At 36.7% G+C, this 24,164-nt stretch overlaps 1 long non-coding RNA gene across 1 annotated transcript in view; it reads left to right on the forward strand.

Annotated features, from left to right (window-relative positions):
- The window catches only part of DSEL-AS1 (DSEL antisense RNA 1), a 383,074-nt gene that overhangs the window by 316,844 nt on the left and 42,066 nt on the right, over nucleotides 1-24,164 (forward strand). Inside the window, exons 2-3 of the long non-coding RNA NR_033921.1 lie at nucleotides 1,030-1,101; nucleotides 2,765-2,869. This is a non-coding gene — a long non-coding RNA (DSEL antisense RNA 1). The remainder of the gene's footprint in view (nucleotides 1-1,029; nucleotides 1,102-2,764; nucleotides 2,870-24,164) is intronic.

Here is a 24,164-nt window from a genome sequence, read left to right on the forward strand (position 1 = left end):
GTATACCGATCTGCTCCGGACATATCTTAGTAGGGGCACCTACAACGAGATGAAAATGAGGTACACAGAAAATATAAATAACAATTTTGTATAGATGATGTTTCATTAGAGAAAATAATAGGCTTTAAGGAAAAAGCATTGTGTAAAGACAAAGAGAATGACATCCAAAGGCAGCACATTTTCTGAAAATTATCCAAGGCAGGATCCACACATAAATTCAGTGAATCATTTGGAAGCTTCTATAAAATGCTATATGCTTCTCTGAAACACAGAGGAACAAATAATTTGGGTTAAAAGGACACAGTGTAAACTGAAAAGATAGCAAAGTGAGCTCTAAGTTGAGGAATGATTTAAATGGTTTCGAATAAACAAAAAAATCATTCATGAAATCAAATATGTATTGGAAATAGTGAATGCTGAATCAATATTACAGAATCAGTGGAGCAGAGGACACACTTGGAAAGCTCTCTCTGGTTATGTACAAGGAAAAGAGCAGTACACAGAGAGGAGATGGAGAAGACAATATACATCTGAAATAGGAAAATTCATTATGTTCCCAAAGAAACAAATATGTTTTGGAAGGGAAAAGTGAAAAATAAATCATTTTTAAGTTTAAAAATATTTAAAGTTTATAAAATATATAAAAGTGAACATTCAGTATCTACATCTAGCAGATTCTAAGAGCTCATCATGTTTCAGATCAAGTGGATATAAAGGGACCACACTGGACACACAAACAGGCACCATAAAAATATTATAATTATAAGCAAAAAATCCGGATGCTGCCAAATTAAATAGATATTTTGAGTCTTCACTGGCATTCACTAAAAGGTGTCCCCAGCTCTTGTGCCCCAAATATAAGGAAGAAATCAGAAATCAAGTGCTTTGGAATTCCAGAGGGAGCAGGAGGCTCTGCAGGCTCCAAATAAGACCACTGATATTTGGCAGGAGGAAAGAGAGAGTCATGTATTTCCTTATGTTGATGACAAAAATGTCATGCCAACTATATCCTCCATTCCCTAATTGCAGTGCAAAGAGAAATCCTTGGAACTCCTTGAGCTCTGAGAATTGGGAGCAACCTCAGGGAACCAGGTGCTCCAGGTAAGATTGCTCACATTCTTCTGCATGCTCCTGGGGATGTCCCAACTTGGCCACTCCTCTCCGCCAATGTTCAGCCAATATGTTCAGCCATCTCCTCAGCTGCTTTTGCCTGGAGACAAGCAGGACAAATCAGACAAGGTCTCTGAGCTCTGTTTCCAAGGTCAGTTTTCATGTCTCAATCTCCAATCACATAAGGTTTTGTACATCTTTTTGACCAGTCTCCAAATTCTGAAATCCTTTCTCTATATCCTTTGAAATTCAGAAATCCTCTGTATTTTAAAAGTTATCTCTGATGTTCTCTTCTGCTTTCTGATCCAAGTGAAGCTTGGCTCTTTAATGATGATAGACTTAACCTATATCATTCAAGGTGTTGTTGGGTGTTGAGTGTTGAGTATCTACCAAAAACTTCATCCTCTTTGACTGAGGGTATGGTACATACCTCTCTTGTCTTCATTGCCACTTTCAGATTACTTTCCTTCCTCCTTACAAAGTAATTGATTAATTGATTAATTAAAGTAGTAATTTTTAATATTATATCATTAAACTATACAACCGTTACAATATTATACAATTTATCTCTCAACTTTCAAGTACCTTCTTCATATAGGTGGGAAAGTTTAACTCCTTATTCACTTTTTAAAAAGTTTGTTTTGTTTTTAATTGACACATAATCATTGTGCTTATTTATGGAATATAGCCTTATGTTTTGATACAATTATGTCTTGTGTAATGAACAAATCACAGTAGTTAGCTTATTTATCACCTCAAACATTTTTCTGTGGTGAGAGTATTGAAAATTATTACTTACACTTATTTTGAAATATACAGTACAATATATTTAACTATCAGCACCCTACTCTGCAATAGAACACCAGAACTTCTTCTTCCTATCAGTCTGTACCAGTTGATATTTGGTACCAGTTGACCAATATCACCCCATATTCTCCTCCCCATACCTCCCCCAAACCTCTGGAAATTGTTATTCTAATTTATACCTCTATGAGATAAACTCTTTTTAGATTCCACATACGAGTGAGATCCTGTGTTGTTTGTCTTTCTATGCTTGGCTTATTTCATTAACATAAAGTCCTCTCAGTTCATTCATGTTGCCACATATGGCAGGATTTTATACTTCTATGGCTGAATAGTATTCCACATTTCTGGGATACATGACACGTTTTGGTACAGGCATGCAACGCATAATAATCACATAATGAAAAATGGGGTATCTATCCCCTCAAACATTTACCCTTTTTGTTGCAAACAGTAAAATTATAATCTATTCGTTAGTTTCAAATACACAGTTAAATTATTATTGGCTACAGTCCCCCCATTGTGCTATCAGATACTAGATTTTATTCATTCTTTCATTTTCTTTGTACCCATTAACTATCCCAGCCTTCTCTTCCACCCCCAAGACCCTTCCCAGCCTCTGGTAACCATCCTTCTACTCTCTATCTCTGTTAGTTTAATCGTTTAGATTTTTAGATCCCACAAATAAGTGAGAACATGTAATGTTTCTCTTTCTATGCCTGGTATATTTCACTTAATGTAATGACCCCCAGTTATATTCATGTTGTTGCAAATGACTGGATCTCATTCTTTTTAATGGCTAAATAGTATTTCATTGTGTGTATGTACCAAATTGTTTTTATTCTTTCAGCTGCTGATAGACACAGGTTGATTCCAAATTGGTTATTGTGAACAGTGCTGCAATGAACATAGGAGTGCAGCTAAGCCTTCAACGTATTGATTTCCTTTATTTTGGGTATGTACCCAGCAGTGGGATTGCTGGATCATATGGTAATTTTTTTTAATTTAGTCTTTTTGAGGAAACTCCAAACTGTTCACCAAAGTGGTTGTACCCGTTTAAATCCCCATCAACAGTGTACAAGGATTCCCTTTTCTCCACATCCTTGCCAGCATTTGTCATTGCCTGTATTTAGGATAGACACTATTTTATCTGGAGTGAGATGATATTTCATTTTAGTTTTGATTTTCACTTCTCTGATCAATGATGTTGAACACATTTTCATATGCCTGTTTGCCATTGATATGTCTTCTTTTGAGAAATGTCTACTCATATATTTTGCCTATTTAAAAAATCAGATTATTAGTTTTAGTCCTAAAGAGTTGTTCGAGCTCCTTATATATTCTGGTTATGAATCCCTTGTTAGATGGGTAGTTTAAAAATTTTCTCCCATTGTGTGGGTTGTCTTTTCACTTTGGTTATTGCTTCCTTCACTGTCTGTAAGCTTTTTAACTTGATGTGATCCCATTTATTCATTTTTGCTTTGGTTGCCTGTACTGGTGAGGTAACGCTCAAGACATTTTTGCCCAGACCAACGTCCTGGATATTTTCATGATGGTTTACTTGTAGTTTCATAGATTGAGGGCTTAGATTTAAGTCTTGACTGCATTTTTATTTTATTTTTACTTATAGTGAGATATAGGGGTCCAGTTTTATTCTTATGAATATGGATGTCCAGTTTTTCCAGCACCATTTATGGAAGACACTGTCTTCTCCTCAATGTATGTTCTTGGCACCTTTGTCAAAAATGAGTTCACTGTAGATGTGTAGATTGGTTTCTGGGATTTCTATTGTGTTCCATTAGTCTATGCGTCTGTTTTCATGCCAGTACCATGCTATTTTGTCTACTATAACTCTGCAGTATAATTTGAAGTCAGATAATGTGATTCTGAAAGTTTTATTTCTTTTACTTAGAATAATTTTGGCTATTCTGAGTTTTTTTGTGGTTCCATATAAATGTTAGGATTGTTTGTCTATTTCTGTGAAAAATGTCATTGGTATTTTGAAAGGGAATGCACTAAACCTATAGATTGCTTTGGGTAGTATGGATATTTTAACAATAATGATTCTTCCAATTCATAAACATAAAATATTTTCCAAGTTTTGGGGTCCTCTTCAATTTCTTCTGTCAGTGTTGTAAAAATAGTTTGCTTTATAGAGATGTGTCACTTCTTTGGTTAATTCCTAGGTATTTAATTTTATTTGTGGTTATTGTAAATGAGTTTACTTTTTTGATTTCTTTTTCAGATTGTTCACTGTTGGATATAGAAGTTCTACTGATTTTTGTAGGTTGATTTCTGTATATTGATACTTAACTGATTTTTTTCAGTTCTACTAGTTTTTTTAGTGGAGTCTTAAGGTTTTTCCAAACATAAAATCATATAATCTGCTAAGGAGGACAATTTCACTTCTTCCTTTCCAATATGCCTGCATTTTATTCCTTTCTCTTTTCTGATTACTCTAACTAGGACTTCCAGTATTATTTTGAATAACAGTGGTGAAAGTAGGCATCTTAGTCATTTGTGTTCTGGATCTTAGAAAAAAGCCTTTCAGTTTTCCCCCTTTTAATATAATATTAACTGTTGGTTTGTCATGTGTGACTTTTCTTATGTTAAGGTATGTTCCTTCTATGCCCAGTTTCTTGAGAGATTTTATTATGAAGAGATGTTGAATTTTATTAATAGCATCAATTGAAATGATATGGTTTCTGTCCTCCATTCTGTTGATATAATGTATCGCATCTCCTTTCCTTCCCTCCCTTTCCTTCCTTCCTTCCTTCTTTCCTTCCTTCCTTCCTTCTTTCCTTCCTTCCTTCCTTTCTTCCTTCTTTTCTCCCTTCCTTCTTTCTTTCCTTCTTTTCTTCTCTCTCCTTTCTCTCTCTCTAAAGCCAGCCACCACCACCCCAGTGGCCACCACCACTAGGACTTCACTGGGTCAGACCCAGACTGACTTCAGAATCAGAGCAGCACTGGGTCTTGCTCAAGGCCTGCTGTAACTACGCTCTGGCTACTGCTTATGTTTGCTGAAGGCCCTGGGTCCAAACAGCAGGTGGCAAATCCAGCCAGGCCTGTGTCCTTTCCTTCAGAGAATCAAGCTCCCCAGGCCACAAGTGGGTCCAGAGGTGCTGTCTAGGATCCAGGATCCACAGTCAAAAACCTTAGAATTCTACCTGGTATTGTATTTTATTGCAGCTGAACTGACACTAAAATCACAATACATAGTCCTTTCTATCCTTTTCTTCCCTTTTGAATGGCAGGTGACCCTCGTCTCATGGTCACTGTCATCACAGGCCCACAGCGAGTACTGCCAGACTACCACCAATGCTACCTTATGGCTCAGGGATTCTTCAGTCAACTTGTGGTGAATGCTACCTGGCCTGGGACTCAGCCATCAGGATAGTGGGCTCCCCTAGGGCAGGTCCAGAAATGCTGTCCAAGAGCCACATTCTGGAATCAGGAACCTCCAGAGCCTGCTTACTGCTTTAACCCTCTGTGGTTGAGCTGGTACCTAAGGTGCAAGACAAAGCCCCCTTTATTCTGGTCTCCACTTTTCTCAAGTAGAAGGAATCTCACCTTGCAGTCGAAACAACTGGGAATGTGCTGAGTCTGACCTGAATCCAGCAAGTTTCAGAGTTTCGCCAAACGCCCTCAACGTAGTGCCTGGTTGTCACTGCTGGTTATTCAGGGCCCTAGAGCTCTTTAGTTAGCAGGTGAGAATCCTGTGAGGACTGAGTCCTTTACTTCAAGGCAGCAGCTTCCCTTCTGATCCAGGGTGTGTCTAGACATGTTGTCTAGGAGCTGGGCTTGGAAAAGGGACCTCATGACTCTGACAGTTACCCTGGGTTGCTGTAGCTGGGCTAATATCCAAGAAACAAGACAAAGTCCTCCCCACTATTCTCTTTTTCCTCCTTAAGCAGAAGGAACGGGTCTCTTTCGGAGCCATGGGCTGTGCAGCCCAGAGTTAGGGAAGAGTTGATGCCAGCACTCCTTTTTAGCTTTTCAGACTGGTGTCTCAGTAGGTCACCTGTCATTCCAGTGCGTTGTCTCTGGGCTTAGTTCAGCACTAGGACTCACCTAGGAGTTGCAATCTTTGTGGTCTAGACTACCTTCCAAGTTTATTTAGGGCCCCAGAGAATTTTATCTCACAGTGGTGAAGCTTGTAGGAACTGAAGTTCCAACTGCTGGGATTCATAACTCCACCCCAGCTGGTTTAAATGCTCCCTCTGTATCAGTTGAGTTTGGTTTTGTTTTACTTTCTGCTATAATAACGTAGCATTGAGTTCAACGACTCATAATTGCTGCACTCTCCCTCTCCCTGGTGCATAGAAGTGATCTCTGTCCCATGCTGCCACTGCCAGGGGATAGGAGAGGGATGGTGTTGGCGATTCAGGACTGTTTTCCCTATCTCTTCAGTGCCTCTTTCAGCAACATGAAGGTAAAACCAGATACTCTGAGTGCTCATCTGATTTTTTATTTTCATGAAGGTGCTTTTTTTTATGTGTGTGTAGATAGTGGTTAAATTGGTGTCCTTGCAGGAGGAACAATTCATAGAGTCTTCTAATCTGTCATCTTGCTCCACCTCTCCTCCTAGGTATTTTTAAGTTTTATTTTATTGCAGAGTTTTCTGTTTTGTTTGTATTCCATAGTTGCTATGTTAATACATATAAAACTTACTTTCATGAAGGAAATAATCTTGATAAATTTTCACAGCCTAAGTCTACTTTATTCAAAACTTTACTGTACTATTGACAATACAACAAAATGATTATTTATACCTTTAGTTTATCACTGATTTAATATTATTTAAGTTTCACAAAAAACAAATTACATTGACCCCACTTCAATTAATAACTTCCATTGTATGTTCTTTATGTTTGACAATAAATAATTATAAAGCATTAGGTGCCCAAGTAAAGGCATTTTAAAGATATGTGTTTATTATAAACCTTAATTCAACTTCCTTAGTATTTCTTATCAAAACAGAAGCCTATATTCTTGTGAAAATGACTAAGGCAATACAGAATTACATGTAACGTTTTTAGCACACAGCTTATTATCAATACATGTAAGTTTTGTAATCTGGCTTTGAATTTCTAATATATTTGACACCCATGCCTTTCTACTACACGATTTTTGAGAATGATATTAAAAGGTCATATTGATTTAACTTTGGTAGTCATCTATATCTGTCTATAACGGCTGTGGACCGTTCACCAAGGCTTTTGCTCATGACCTTTGATGTAGAGGCAGCCATGCATAGACAATTGCTGACAGAGGTCAGGGATCAGCCTGTGACCACTGGTCAAGCTGTCTCATCAAGCACAGATGGCAGCTAATATGCATTATAATATGCCAAAGGGAACACTGTTGTTAAAATTGCTACTGCATTCAACAACTGTTGCAGAATTCCTCGTATGTATAGTTATTGCGAACAGTGCTGGTGGTTTTGAAGGTAGAATATCTTATCTTGCCTAAAAAACAAAAGTAATGTATGTTGTAAACATATTTGTTTCCTGCTTTCAAATATGTGTAGACACACATAATTGTTTTTGAGCGACATTTTATGTAATATTTGAAAGCTGTATCTGCATAAGATTGAAGTTATATGTTTAGTATACATCTGTTGCTTTGCCTTCGTGGAACTCTTATTCTAGTAACAATTTTTATTTTTTTTTAATTTTTGGAATGATTCCTTCGTCTTCCTCAATGTATGCAGTTTAAAATAGCCTAATTTCACTTGCCCATGTCTAGGGATAATAATAGCAAAAATTAAAAAACTGCATGGTAGATACATTCTAAAAATTAGATATTAAAATAGCCTTTCATTTTTCTTCTTGCTCTGAGCAAGAAGAGGAAAACAAAAAATAAGCATGATAAATATAAAAATTTTAGGAAATATGTTAGAATGTCTCTTGTGAGGATATAAACTGTAATGCAATTTGTATTGTTCAGATTAATGCATTTAATATCCTGTAGAATTAGGAAGAGTCTATTTCCTTTCATGGATATAAGATTGTACTGCCAAGCCATAGAGAAATAGTGTTAGACTCAAGCATTACATATTTTAACTATGTTACTCTAGACATCTATTTCTTATATTGGAGAGAATATGACAAAATAATCATATTCTTAAAATATGAAACATCTGTCAGAGTAAGAAAAAAAGTATTTCAGAAAACATATTCTGCCATACAGCCTTCCAGCTTCCAATTTCACCTTATCACAACAGGCCTATGCATGCAAAACAGCACCCAAGGTTGAACTATATCTCTGAACTATTGTTATTTGGCCATTTGTACATGTTTTTCTTTCCTATTTTATTAAATGTTCTTTAGGGTAAGCGGCTATACTTGGTACTTTTATTGAGCCTAGTTATTTACTATTTTAAAAAACTTTTGTAAGTAATTTAGCATTTCTTTCCTTATAAGATACATTCTTGACTTACATGTTACCTCTTAAATAACATAATTTTCCTGGTGTTATTGGGAATGGATACTATCTTTGGACTCACACCACTGCTAACTTCCTGAGTCTGAGCTAAGTGACTTGAGATTTTTTTCGTGTGACAGGTGTGCAGAAATGTCACTGGGCAGATGGAAGAGCAACATTGGTTTTCACCACTATTTATCAGCAGATGGGAAGGCGGGTGATTTGTATATCCTTTTCCTCGATCAATTAAGTAACTTTTGGCAGGAATAGCTTGGATATTTTCTTAAAAATACATATTTTTGTTCCTCTAAAACCAGTGGTTGGGAAGAGTTTTACAAATCAATCTTCCACCATGCATTGCTTAATAAGGAAGATATGTTCTGAGAGATGGGTTGTTAGGAGATTTTGTTGTGTGAGCCTCATAGAGTGTACTTACCCAAACCTAGATGATGCAGCTTACTGTACCTGGGCCATGTGGTGTTGCCTATTACTCCTAGGCTACAACACTGTACAGCATGTTACTTTACTGAATGCTGTAGGTAATTGCAGCAAAATTACAGTAAAAATATGGTGTAAAAGATAAAAAATGGAATATAGGACACAACACAAATGAAGCTTGCAGGACTGGAAGTTGCTCTGGGTGAGTGAGAGGGTAAGTGGTGAGTGAATGTGAAGGCCTAGGACATCACTTTGTAAACATTTAACACTTAGAGTACACTAAATTTATTATTAAAATGTATTTCTTCGATAATAAATCAACCTTAATTTATTGTGACTTTCTTACTTTATATACATTTTAATTATGTAGCTTTTAGACTTTTTTGTAATAACTCTTAGCTTAAACACAAACACATTTTGCAGCTGTACAAAAATATTTTCTATCCTTGAGTCCTTATTCTGTAAGCATTTTGATTTTTTAAGTTATGTATTTCTTAAAGTTTTTGTTAAATACTAAGACATAGGCACACACATAAATGTAGGCCTACACACAGGGTCAAGGTCATCAATATCACTGTCTTCCACTTTCACACCTTGTCTCACTGCAGGTTCTTCAGGGGTAATGACACACATGAAGCTGTCATCTTGTGCCTTCTGGAATACTTCCTGAAAAACTTGCCTGAAGCTGTTTTATAGTTTACTATTTTAATATAAGTAGAAGATTACATAAGTAGAAGGAATATATTCTAAGACAATGACAAATAGTATAGTATAGTAAATTCATAAACAAGTAACATGGTGGTATATTATCATTTTCAATTATTATGTATGGTCCGTGATTGTATGTGCTACACTTTTATACAAATGATGGCTCAGTAGGTTCCTTTACACCAGCACCGCAGCAAACACACGAGTCATGCATTGTGCCACAGCATTATATGATAGCCAAAATTCATTAGGTGATAGGAATTTTTCATCACATTATAATCTCACAGGATTGTCTTTGTATATGTGCTTTGTAGTTGACTGAAACTTCATTATGCAGCGCAAAACAGAATTTTGCTATTTAAATAAAAACCAATCACAAATGCTCACATCTCACTAACTCAGGCCAACAATTAATTTGCTACGCTGCTACCAAATTAACTTTCTAAAACACAGATAAGATAAAACTGATAACCTGTTTAAACATCTAGAAGCATCCCCATTGCATTCAGGATAGAATATATACATACACATACATACATATATACATGCACATAGGCACACATACATACACATACATATGTAAAACAAAGATCAAATGAAAAGGACATTTGCCAACATAAGTGACAAACGTGATGGAATGAAAAACTGTATGTAAATGTTGGTCATAATTATTGTCATGGTGAAACTTTTAGGTTATTATGGATTTCACCTTAGATAATCACTCATGGAAAGTGATTAAAATGCAATTAATAATAGAGGTTTAAAGTCAAATGGTTACCAACCTGTGTAGATCCCCCCTTTATTGATAGCTGCTTTACTAAAACAAAGTGTCTCATTCATCTTCTCTCACTTATTAAGTTGTTAATCCATTCCAGAAATCACACATTTAATTCAGCATTTGTTTGTCACCAGATGTGTGAAATTTGTTGATAAATACTGTGATAGTATAGAGACTAAATAAAAACCAAACGAAAATATTGTTTCTCTGTTTTGAGGAGCATAAATAAATATGGTAGAAGGGGGGATGTAATGAAGAGGTTAATAGAAGGAAATGATAGCCAGATTAATGACTCATGATAACTGAGTGGGCAGGAGTATCATCCAATAGCGAGAGCTCTAAGAACCTAGATAAGAAAAACTTCCATGCACCCCACTTACCTCCGTCAGCTGACCCCTACCATTCCTCTTCCCCCAGCACTCAGGGAGGCTTCACAAGCACCTGTGTTGGTAACAAAAGTACTCTATACTTTCTACTATTGTTTATAATTGTTTCTACCACACTCTGTCCACATCAGCACTGCACCACCAATTTAGTTCCAATTTCTCATTCCTTCCCAATCCTTAAATTCACTGTGGCCTCTACAATTTCCATTTAACAGCAAAATATGCTATTTCTGCAGTTGTCTCTGAATATTACTTTCTTGCTGAAATATTTTATTCCTGTTATATTTTTTGGTGATTTCCCTATCAACAGAGATAATCATTCCAATTCTGTGGTTCTTTAGTTACTTGAGTCTCTCCTTCAATTTTCATTTCCACCAGCCTATCTATTCATTTTCCTGGTCACACCTGGTTTGTCATTATCAATAACTGAATTACTTCATAAGCTCTAATTCTAATTCCCTCTCCTCATTCTTTGATCATCACCTCTTTTGTTTCTGATTCACTTCCTTTTTTCTTACAATTATAGTAATAAGCCATTCAATATAAATATTTTTATGTACTCATTCTTCATGATGCAGCTTATTTTTATGGCCTGTCATTAAAGCCATTTTAATGATAAAAGTTCAATTATTCTGTTCCACTTTTTTCCATTGTAATATTTGTCATAAAAAATCCTGTAATTAAAAAGCCAACTCTTTGCCTGTTTTGCATTACATCCATACTTGTATAGCTAAATATGGCTGACAACAGCCAACAAAGACATACAACCGTGCTGACATCAGAGTTTTGTAGAGGTTAATAAGGACAATAAAATTTTTGAGCAAAGAGTAAAACTTCGTGCATGCATATTTTATTAAACAATTATAAATTGCCCTTTAAAAATCACCAGATAGATATTTGGAATCCCCCAGGTAGAGAAAATGAAAACAATAGCTTTCAGACTCTCTGACTTTCGTAGCATTCTGATTGCTGAATGTTTCAAATCATGCAAAAACATACATACTATTTCTAGGATATAATCAAAATCCATATGGGGAGCAATTACTAAAAATCCATTTAGAGGTGTTTATAGGTTCTCTGTATCTTACTTTTATATGCTTTCCAGAAATACAGTGCTTAAAAGGAAGGCATGTGACAGTAATATCCACTGCTGTCTCAAAAAAGTCTCTCCACAATTTTTGCTCAATAGTGCAACCAACTGGTCCTTAGTGGAATGTGTTATGCCATAAAGGATTTTGTCAATCACCCACTTAAGGTTGTCTGGTGCTACCAAGGAGACCTTTTGGTTTTACCAGATTTTATAAAATTCAAGGTTTTTAAAAATTGTTTAAAGCAACAAGTTGTAGTGAATATGGTAAGTATGTAGAATTATACATACAAACACACACACACACACACACACAAGACCAGGTAGATAACTCTATATGATTAAAAGATTTTGATATTTCCCATTAAGGACCACAACATTAATTATAAGTAGATTATACAAACTTATGGATATATATGTTAACCTGTAGAGTAACCATCATGATATAATACAAAGATACAGAGCTAAACATTCCAAAGATAAATTAAATAGAATTTTAAATATTCAGTTACTCTCAAAGAAAACACAGAAGGAGAAACAGAAAACAAGAAGCCTAAAGGAAATCAATTATAAAATGGTGGAACTAAATTAACTGCATTGTTAGCTACTTTAAATTTTATCAAATTAAACACTCTAATTAAAATATTTTCATAATGAATGAAAAAGCAATATCAACTATATGCTGTTTGCAAGAGACATGCTTTAACCAAAACAACGCAATAAAAAAGTACATATGATTGAAAATTAAACTGTGCAAAGTAAGTACTGGAAGACTGGAATGACTATATTATACCAAATAAATTTGACTTCCAAAAAGGGAACTGGAGAGATGGAGGCAAGATGGCCGACTAGACCAGCTAGGAGGAACATCTGCCACCGAGGGACTGGGAGACCAAGAAGACTAATGCATTCTGCAGAGATCCTTGGAAGGAGAGCATTTAGAGCAAATGGAGGGAAAGCACAAATGCTGGGCTGAGCAGAGAGAAAGTTGAGAACCATGCATGGGATTACAGCACACGAGGACTTGTTCCTGGCCACCAAAGACTCTTGTGAGTTGAACAGGTAGCAACCTGCTCTGTCCATGGGCCTCTGGAATCCTGGCAGCAGTAGACACAACACCCCCCATGGACACTCGCGCTGGGACAGAAGAGCTGCTTAGAGAGGTGGAGGAGGCAGGACTCCAGCCTGTGTGGAGCCCGGAGGTTTTGGTCCAGCAACCTCTGCAGTGGAGCATGGCCAGGGACACCCTAGGGGAACTGTCAGACTTGAACAGAGCAAGGTGATGTTGCTTGTTAGATGGGGCCAGTTCAACCTGAGAACCCTTCTGTCTGGTGGCCTCTCCAGGGACTCCAGCCTGGCCATGACTGCTTGTAATGCAGCCTCAGTAGCCCAACTGTTGTGCCTCCCAGGGCCCACATCATGGCCCCTGTGCTGGCAGACCACACCTGACCAAAGGCAAGCCCCAGCAGAGAGGCCCCCTCTGCCACATACCAGTCCATACGTGCCCTCTTCCCACTGCAGCCTCCCCCATGCCACTTTGCAAGCATCCATTAACCCATGGCCACCCCATCCCATTATTTTGCTAGTACGTGTATGCACAAGTGAACCCCCCTTCCCCTTCCCCACTGGCAGGTGGGTGCACATGCAGCCCACCGTGTCATTGCTGCCAGCATGAGCACAGTGACCATCCCCATGATGCCGCTCCTCTGTGCTGCTGTTGCCTGCCTGAACAGGAGCACAGACACCAGTGACCCTGCCCCATGCACTGCCACTGCTGCAGGTGTGATCACTTGCAGGGGGATTGACAGATCTGTGTCTGCCAGGGCCCCACCCCTGTGGTGACTCCTTTGTGGATGCCAAGGCACACAGGGATGCTAGTGGCCCCAACCTTCATCCCCACTCCTCCTTTTCCACTCCCTGTGCCACCATCACCACAGCTGCCAATGGCCCTATGGAGGCTGGCAGCCTTAAGCCAGCTAGCTCCCCTCCCCAGCTGACAATCATGCACCTCCTTGTACTGCCAATTCTCACATCCCCACTTCTGCTGGCGTGTGGGAATGCGCACAGATTCTGCTACCACTGCTTGGTGAAGCGCTTTGGCTGGCACTACCCTTTGTAGTGTTATGGCTAGGGTCTGAGAATACCTGGGCTCCTTCAGTTGGCAGGTTTCAAACTTTGAGAAGCCAGAGAACAAAGCCGAGGGCTCAATACCACCTTCCCCGAGTTTGAGCACACATCCCAGAACGGCTGAGCTGAGCCTTGGCCCGCCTCAAAAATCTACCAAAAACAAAGCCAGTCAACTAAACCCACCTTATACCACAATCAAACACCCAAGGACATAAAAGAAGATAAAAGAAAAAAAACAACAACAACATGAAAATTCATCTAAAGGATAGCAACTTCAAAGACTAAAGAGACATCAGCCGGAAAGCTGAGAAAGAACCAGCTGAAGAACTCTGGCAACTCAAAAAGCCAGAGTGTCTTCTTATCGCCAGACGATCTCACTAGTTCCCCTAAATAGTTCTTAACTAAGCTGAAATGGCTGAAGTGAAATGAATATAATTTGAATATGGATAAGAACAAAGAAAATTGACCTTCAGGAGAAAGTTGAAATGCAATCCAGGGAATCTGAGGAATACAAGAAAACAATACAGGAGATGAAAGATGACATTTTCATTTTAAGAAAGAACCAAACTGAGCTCATAGAGATGAAAAGTTCACTTCAAAAATGTCAGAATACAAACAAAAATGTCAGAATAACAAGCATTGATAGCACAATTGACCAAGTGGCAGAAAGAATCTCAGAACTCGAAGACCTGCTCTTCAAAATAACACAGTCAGACAAAATAAATAACTAAATAGATAGATAAAAAAATAAAGAAGAATGAACCAAACCTCAGAGAAATATAGGATTACATAAAGAGACCTATATGTAACTCATTGGCATCCCTGAGAGAAAGCAAGCAACTTGGAAAGCATATTTCAGGATATTGTCCATGAAAATTTCCTCAACCTCGCTAGGGAGGCCAACATTCAAATTCAGGAAAGGCCGAGAACCTAGACCACAGGAAGACCATCCCTAGACACGTAATAATCAGACCCTCCAAGGTCACAATGAAAGAAAAAATATTAAAGGCAGCTAGAGAGAAGGAGCAGGTTACCTACAAAGAGAAACGCATCAGGCTAACAGTGGACCTTTCAGTAGAAACTTTACAAGCCAGAAGAGAATAGGGTGCTATATTCAGCATTATTAAAGAAAATAATTTCCAACCAAGAATTTCATCTCCAGTCAAACTAAGCTTCATAAGAGAAGGGGAAATAAGATCCTTTCCAGACAAGCAAATGCTAAGGCATTTTGTTACGACCAGACCTCCCTTATAAGAGGTCTTGAAGGGAGTGCTAAATAAACAGAAAGGAAAGGCTGTTACCAACCGATACAAACACACACTTAAGTACATAGACCAGTGAGGCTACAAAGCAGATACACAAAGAAGTCTGCCAAATAACCAGCTAGCAACATGAAGACAGATAAAATTCAAACATATCAATACTAACCTTGAATGTAAATAGGCTAAATGCCCCAAGAAAATGACAGAGTGGCAAGTTGGATGAAGACGAATGACCCAATGGTATGTGATCTTCAGGAGACACATCTCACACACAATGACACATAGAGGCTCAAAATAAAGAGGTGGAGGAAAATTTACCAAGCAAACAGAAAACAGAAAAAAGCAAGGACTGCTAATCTAATTTCAGACAAAATAGACGGTAAACCCTCAAAGATTAAAAAATACAAAGAAAGACATTACATAACAATAAAGGCTCGATTCAATAAGAAGACCTAACTGTTCTAAACATACATGCATCCAACAAAGGAGCATCCAGATTGATAAATCAAGTTTTTGGAGACATAGTAAAAGACTAAGTAAACCACACAATAATAGTGGAAGATTTCAACACCACATTGACGATATTAGACAGATCATCGAGGCAGAAAGCTAACAGTGATATTCAGGACCTGAATTTGACACTTGATCAAATGGATCAAATAGTTATCTACAGAAAACTCCACCAAAGAACAACAGAATATAGATTTTTCTCATCTGCACATGGCACATATTCTAAAATAGACCACATAATTGGACATAAAACAATTCTCATCATGTTCAAAAAAGGGAAATTCATACCAACCACACTCTCAGACCACAGTGCAATAAAAAAATAAAAACCAATGCAAAGAGAATTGTCCAATGCCATATAATTACATGGAAATTAAACAACCTGTTTCTGAATGACTTTTGGGAAAATAATGAGAATAAGTTGGAAATCAAGACATTTTTTCAAACTAACGAGAACAAAGATACAACATACCAGAATATCTAAGACACACTTAAGGCTATATTAAGAGGGAATTTCATGCTCATGTCAAAAAGTCAGAGAGATCTCAAATTAACAACCAAATTTCACAACTAGAAGTACTAGAGATACAAGAGCAATCCAACCTGAAAGCTAGTGAAGGACAAGAAATGACCAAAATTGAACCTGAACTAAACGAAATTGAGAAGTGAAAAAAATCATACAAAAAAATCAGTGAATCCAGGAGTTGCTTTTGTGAACAAATTAATAAGATAGACTCCTAGCTAGACAAAAAGAGAAGATCCAAATAAATACAATCAGAAATGGCAGAGTACAAGACCATGACTCCATAGAAATGCAAATCTACTATGCAGTTTTTGCAGAGATTAGTATGAATACCTCTATTTACACAAGCTAGAAAATCTGGAGGAAATAGATAAATTCCTAGACACATACAACCTTTCGGGATTGAACCAGAAAGAAATTGAATTCCTGAACAGACCAATAATGAGTTCTGAAATTGAATCAGTAATAAAAAGCCTGCCAACCAAACAATTTCAGGACCAGAGGGGTTCACGTCAAATTCTGTCAGATGTAAAAGAAGAGCTGGTACCATTCCTTATGAAGCTATTCCAAAAAATCGAGAAGAGGGGACTCTTCCTTAACTCCTTCGGAGTCCAGCATCATCCTGACACAAAAAATTGGCAAAGATACAACAATAAAAAAGGAAGTCTTCAGGTCAATAACCTTGATGAACATAGGTGCGAAAGTCCCCAACAAAATGCCAAGAAATCAAATTCAGCATCCCAGCAAAAAGCTAATCCACCATGATCAAGTAGATCTTATCCCTGGGCATGCAAGTTAGTTTAACATATGGAAATCAACAAATGTGATTCATCACATAAAAAGAACAAAAAACAAAATTCATATGATCAAGTTAATAGATGTAGAAAAGGCTTTTGATAAAATTCAAAATCTTTTCATGTTAAAATCCCTCAACAAAGCATTGAAGGTACATACTTCAAAATAATAAGGGCCATCTATGACAAAATCACAGCCAACATTATACTGAATGGGCAAAAGCTAGACACATACCCCTTGAAAACCAAAATAGGGCAAATGTACCTGCTATCACCACTTCTATTCTACAGGGTACTAGAAGTTCTGGCCACAGCAATCAGGCAAGATATAGAAATAACAGGAATCAAGTAGGAAGTGAAGATGTCAAAGTATCTCTCCTTGCAGACAATGTGACTCCATACCTAGAAAAACCCATAGTCTCTGCCCAAAAGCTCCTTGATATGATAAGCAGCTTCAGGAAAGTTTCAGGATACAAAATCAATGTACAAAAATTAGTAGCATTTCTATATACCAACAACACCCAAACTGAGAAATCAAGAATTCAATCCCATTCACAATAGCAACAAAAAGAAGAAAATATATACCTAGGAATGCATCTAACCAGAGAGGTAAAATATCTCTACAACAAGAATTACAAAACACTGCTCAAAGAAATCAGAGGTGACACAAACGAACAGAAAACCATTCTATGCTCACGGATAGGAAGACTCAGTGTTGTTAAAATGGTCATACTGCCTGAAGCAATTTATAGATGCATTGTTATTGCTATCAAACTATCAATTAATTCTTCACAGAATGAGAATAAAACTGTCTTACAATGTAAATGAAACTAAACAAGAGTGTGAATAGCCAAGGCAATCCTAAGCAAAAAGAATAAAACTTAAGGCATCACTTTACCTGCCTTCAAATTTTACTAGAAGCCGATAGTAACCAAAACATCATGGAACTGATACAAAAACAAACTCATAGACCAATGGAACAGAAAAGAGATCCCAGAAATAAGGCCACATGCCTACGACCATCTGATCTTTGACAAAGTTTGCAAAAACAAGCAATAGAAAGAGGACTCTCCAGTCATAAAAAGTGCTAGGATAACTGGCTGGTCATAGACATAGATTGAAATTGGACCTCTTTCCTTATGCCATATAAAAAAATAAACTCGAGATAGATTCAAGACTTAAATGTAAAGCCTAACATTATAAAAACCCTGAAAGATAACCTAGGAAACACCATTCTGCACATAGGACCAGGCAAACATTTTCTGTTAAAGACTCTAAGCAATTGCAAACCAAAACATAAATAGACAAATGAGATCTCGTTAAACTAAAGTGATTCTGCACAGTAATATAAACTATCAACAGAGTAAACAGGCAATCCCATAACCATTAAGCAGTCGCTCCCTATTTGCTCCTTCCCCCACCCCTGGCAAACACTAATCTGCTTTCTGTTTTTATGAATTTACCTATTCTGGACATTTCATACAAATAGATTCACAATATGTGAACTTTTGTCTGTTTTTTCACTTAGTATAATAATTTTCAAGGTTCATCCATACTTTAGCATAATCAGTATTTTATCCTTTTATATCTAAATCATATTTTGTTATGTAAATATACCTAATTTTGATTTTCTGTTTACAGTTGATGAACATTTAAGCTATTTCTACATTTTGGCAATTTTTAACAATACTTTTATGATCAACCATGTATAACTTTATTTTAACATCTGAGTTCTATTCTTTTGGTAGAATAACTGGGTTGTGTGATAATTTTTTATTTAATTTATTGAGGTACTGCTAAACTGCTTTCCATTCAGACAGTACCATTTTTGGATTCCCACCAATATGTAAGGGTTGCAATTTCCCCACTTCATCACCAACATTTGTTATATTCAATTTTTTAAAGAAATTATACATATCTTGGTAGATATGTAGTGGATTTGATTTCATGTCTCTAATGAGTAATGACATTAAGCATCCTTTCATGTGCTTGTTGACACAAGATCTTTTTAAAAAACATTTTTGATAATTATTTTTAAGTTCCTGAAAACTACAAACATACTCTGTATAATTTCAATATTTTCACATATATTGATATTTGTTTTCTACCTCTGTTTATAGTATATCCTGCAGAGTATACCATGTACCCTTAAAATAATATATATTCTGCATATTTCAGAGTATTGTTATATAAATCTAAGGTTAATGTTTGATGGGTTGCACAAATATTCTATTTTTTTTCTAATTGTCTACACCTTGGTACTATCAATTACTGACTGTTTAAGATTGATAATTCTACTTTTCATCTATATCTCCTTTAAGTTGTGTCACCATTTATTTCATGTCTTTTGAAGCTCTGCTTTTAGGTATAAACACACATATGATTGTTACATCTTAGGATATTGTAACTTTTATCAATATGAAATGTCCCTCTTTATTGCTGACAATTCCCTTTTTTAACTTTTATTTTAGATGCAGGGGTATATGGGCATGTTTGTTATATAGATAAATTGTGTGTCATGGGGGTTTGGTTTACAGATTATTCTGTCACCCACATAATAAGCATAATACCCCATAGGTAGTTTTTCAATCCTTATTCTCCTTCTACCCTCTACCTTCAAATAGGCCCCTGTGTCTATTTTTCCCTACTTTATGAACAAATTTACTCAATGTTTAGTTCCCACTTAGAAGTGAGAATATGTCATATTTGGTTTTCCATTTCTGCATTAGTTCACTTAGGATACTGGCCTCCAGCTCCATTCATGTTGGCTCCTTGTTCTTATGCAAATTTCTGCAGAATTGAGTTTCTCCTCAGAAAATGGGTTTTTCTTTTCTTTTGCATTGTCAGTCTGCAAATTTTCCAAGCTTTTTATGCCCTGCTTCCCTTTTAAACATAAGTTCCAATTTCAGATGATCTCTCTCAGGTACAAAGTTCCACAGATCTCGAGGGCAAGGGTAAAATGCTGACAGTCTCTTTGCTAAAGGATAGCAAAAGTGACCTTTGCTCCAGTTCTCAATATATTCCTCATTTCCATCTGAGACCACTTCAACCTGGACTTTATTGTCCATATCACTATGAGCATTTTGGTCAAAGCCATTCAGTAAGTCTCTAGGAAGTTCCAAACTTTCCTACATCTTCCTGCCTTCTGAGCCCTCCAAATCTCTAGGAAGTTCCACACTTTCCCACATTTTCCTGTCTTCTTCTGAGCCCTCCAAACTGTCTCAACCTCTGCACGTTATGCAGTTTCAAGGTCGCTTCCACATTTGCTGGTAACCTTATAGCAGTGCCCCACTACCTCAGTACCAATTTACTGTATTAGTCCATTCTCACACTGCTCTTAAGAAATACCAGATACTGGGTAATTTATAAAGGAAAGAGGTCTAATTGAATTACAGTTCTACATTGCTGGGGAGGCCTCAGGAAACTTACAATCATGGCAGAAGGCAAAGGAGAAGCATGCACCTTCTTTGCAGGGTTGCAGGATGGAGTTAGTGCAAGCAGGCAAATTGCCTGATACTTGTCAAACCATCAGAGCTCTTGAGACTCACTCACTATCACAAGAACAGCATGAGGGAAATTGATCCCATGATCTGATTACCTCCACCTGGTCCTACCCTTGCACATGGGGATTACAATTCAAGATGAGAGTTTGTGTGAGGACACAGCCGAAACATATCACTCTTAATTATTTTTCCCTGTTTCACCTGTTTATGCTGTAGCTATGGTCTTACTTTACAATGTCATTTTTGCGATTCGTGTTCATTGGTAATTTCCTAGAAAACATAGGCCCAGCCTTTTCATTTCTGCAAAAAGAAAGAAAAAAAAAAACTCTTGGGATTTAAAGAGACATTACACTGAATCTGGATATTGCTTTAGATACTATTGATATTTTAACAATTTGAGTCTTCCAATTCATCATCACAGGATAACTTTCCTTTTATGTCATTTATCGTTTTCAGCAATGTTTTCATAGTTCTCAATGTAGAAGTCTCACTGCTGCTTTGTTACATTAACTTCTAAGTATCTTTTTACAGTTGGTGCAATTTTAAACAATACTTTGTAAATTAATTTCTTTTTGAGATAGTTCATTGATGGCTTATATAAATACCATTCATCTTCTGTGTTTATATGTGTGTACATTGTGCAACCTGCAACATTTCTGAATTTGTTTATCATGTCTTAAGATTTTTGGCAGACTTTTTAGATATTTTAGTATATGAAATCATTTCCTCTGTGAAGAGAAATAGTTTCATTTATTCTTTAGGAGTTTAGAAGCCATTTATTTGTTTTTCTTGCCTACTCTGGCTAGAAATTCTATTATAATGTTGAGCAAAAGTGAAGAATGGAAGCATACTTCCCTTGTTTTTGATCTTAGAGGGAAGGTTTTAATCTTTCACCATAACATATGCTATTAAGTGCTGTTCATTATGTTGGAAGGTTCTACTGCATTCTTAGTTTGTTGATTGTTTTTTGTTTGTTTGTTTTAGATAGAGTCTCACTCTATCACCCAGACTGGAGTGCAATGGCGCTATCTTGGCTCACTGGAACCTCCGCCTCCTGGGTTCAAGCATTTATCCCACTTCAGCTTCCCGAATAGCTGGGATTACAGACACGTGCCACCACACCCCACTAATGTTTTGTATTTTTAGTAGAGACAGGGTCTCACCATGTTGGCCAGACTGGTCTCCAACTCCTGACCTCAAGTGATCTGCCCGCCTTGGCCTCCCAAAGTGCTGGGATTACAGGCATGAGCCACTGCGCTCAGCCCGATTGTTTTTATTATGAAAGGGTTTTTAGATAATTTATAGATAAAATGTGGGTTAACACAGCATTTCCATGATTGTTTTAAATAATTTTGAGTTTCATGGTCATAATGGCAATTTTTTTTTTTTTTTGAGACGGAGTCTCGCTCTGTTGCCTAGGCTGGAGTACAGCGGCGCAATCTCGGCTCACTGCAACTCTGCCTTCTGGGTTCAAGCAATTCTCCTGTCTTAGCCTCCTGAATAGCTGGGACTCCAGGTGCACGCTGCCATGCCCGGCTAATTTTTTATATTTTAGTAGAGACGGGATTTCACCGTGGTGCCCAGGCTGGTTGCGAACTCCTGAGCTCAGGCAATCCACCTGCCTTGGCCTCCCAAAGTGCTGGGATTACAGGCATGAGGCACCATGCCCAGCTGAGAAAATTTTCAAAGTAAAAAAATAAATAAATAAATAAACATATATATATATATATATATATATATATATATATATATATATATATATATATATAATTTCTGGGATCAGTTGTTGTGTATTTGAACACACACACACATGCACATACATTAGGGGCTTTATTGGGTTGGGAAACAATAAAGAAGACAGAAGGCATAAAGACAGAAGTTGAATGACATTTTGGAGATAATGTAGGTAAACAATGTTGTAAATCTGGAAACAAAAGATGCTGGAGAGGATGTGGAGAAACAGAAATGCTTTTTCACTGTTGGTGGGAGTATAAATTGGTTCAACCATTGTGGAACACAGTGTGGCAATTCCTCAAGGATCTAGAACCAGAAATACCTTTTGACCCAGCAATCCATTCCTGGGTATATATCCAAAGGATTATAAATCATTCTACTATAAAGACACATGCACAGGTATGTTTATTGCAGCACTATTCACAATAGGGAAGGCTTGAAACCAACCCAAATGCCCATCAATGATAGACTGGATAAAGAAAATATGGCACATACACAACCATGGAATATTATGCATCCATAAAAACGGATGAGTTCATGTCCCTTGCAAGGACATGGATGAAGCTGGAAACCATCATTCTCAGCAAACTAATGCAAGAACAGAAAACTAAACACCTCATGTTCTCACTCATAAATGTGAGTTGAACAATAAGAACACATGGACACAGGGAAGGGAATGTCACACACTGGGGCCTGTCAGGGGTAGGGGACTAGGGGAGGGACAGCATTAGGACAAATACCAAATTAGATGGTGGGTTGATGTGTGCAACAAACCACCATAGCACGTGTATACCTATGTAACAAACCTGCACGTTCTGCACATGTATCCCAGAACTTAAAGTATAATAATAAAAAAAAGTTGTACATCCTGTATACATTAGGCGATTTTGTTTTTACCACTTACTTTTTTTTGACATCAAGTTTAAGACATGAAAAACTGAATTTTTAATAATGTTGACAAAGTTATGGCAGGTTTTTAAATTTACTGTTGTATTATGTGCATATTTAATTGACATTTCATTTGAGTTCAATTCCATTTCTATTTCTTATTGCAAGTAAATGATTCTAGCAGTTAATTTTCACATTTAACTTTCAAGAGCTTCAACAACTTTCAATCTGTGAAAACCAAGAGGCATGTAGAAAGTTAAAGATCCAAATAAACATAATAAATTATATGACGATTGCTTGGTTAATGTTTTGAGGGAAAAATATTTAAAATTTTCTATTTGAAAAAAGTATGAGCAATTATTATGTGGTCTGAATTCCTAGTTAGCTTTCACATTTATGTGACAAAAAAGTTAAGTGAGTAAATGCTCTTTACTGATAATATTTATCTCAATGAAATACTAATTAAACTGTTTTCAGAATCTGAAATTTTAAATTCTCCATCACTGAAACCTGCCTTCATGTAAAATGTTTTTGTATCACTGCCTTTTCCTAATTAGCATTTTCCTTCTGCTTTTTAATCTCTTTGACATTGAGAGATGTTATAATGTCTCTAACTCGCATGTATTATAGTTGATTTTTAGATGAATACTTATATTTTAACATACAATGGTTAAAACTTAAGAATATCTACACTTTGAAGATCTATGACAACAGAAACATTTGCAGAGATGGCTTCTTAATGAGATCCTTCCATCTTATAGAGCTATAAAGATCAATATATATTTGGTGATAAGCTACAGAAGGCAAGATATTATTTAAAAAACAGAAATGAAACTTAATAGAGCTAGAATACAAGAAACAGTACTGACAATACCATGTAAAATATTTCTAAATAAAGATTACAAAGTAATAACAATATCTGAAATTAATATTATAAAACTTCAAAAAAGTCTAAATGATCAAATGGTGAAATTAAAAATAAAAGGAAGGAGAGTATTTAAATGGAGGCACATATGTTGAACGACCAGGCTGGTAAACCCATTCTATGCTGTTACTCTCAAAAAGGGTGTGTTCAATTGAGTGGAA

This window comes from Homo sapiens, chromosome 18, assembly GCF_000001405.40.
Source record: "Homo sapiens chromosome 18, GRCh38.p14 Primary Assembly".
Taxonomy (NCBI): Eukaryota; Metazoa; Chordata; class Mammalia; order Primates; family Hominidae; genus Homo; species Homo sapiens.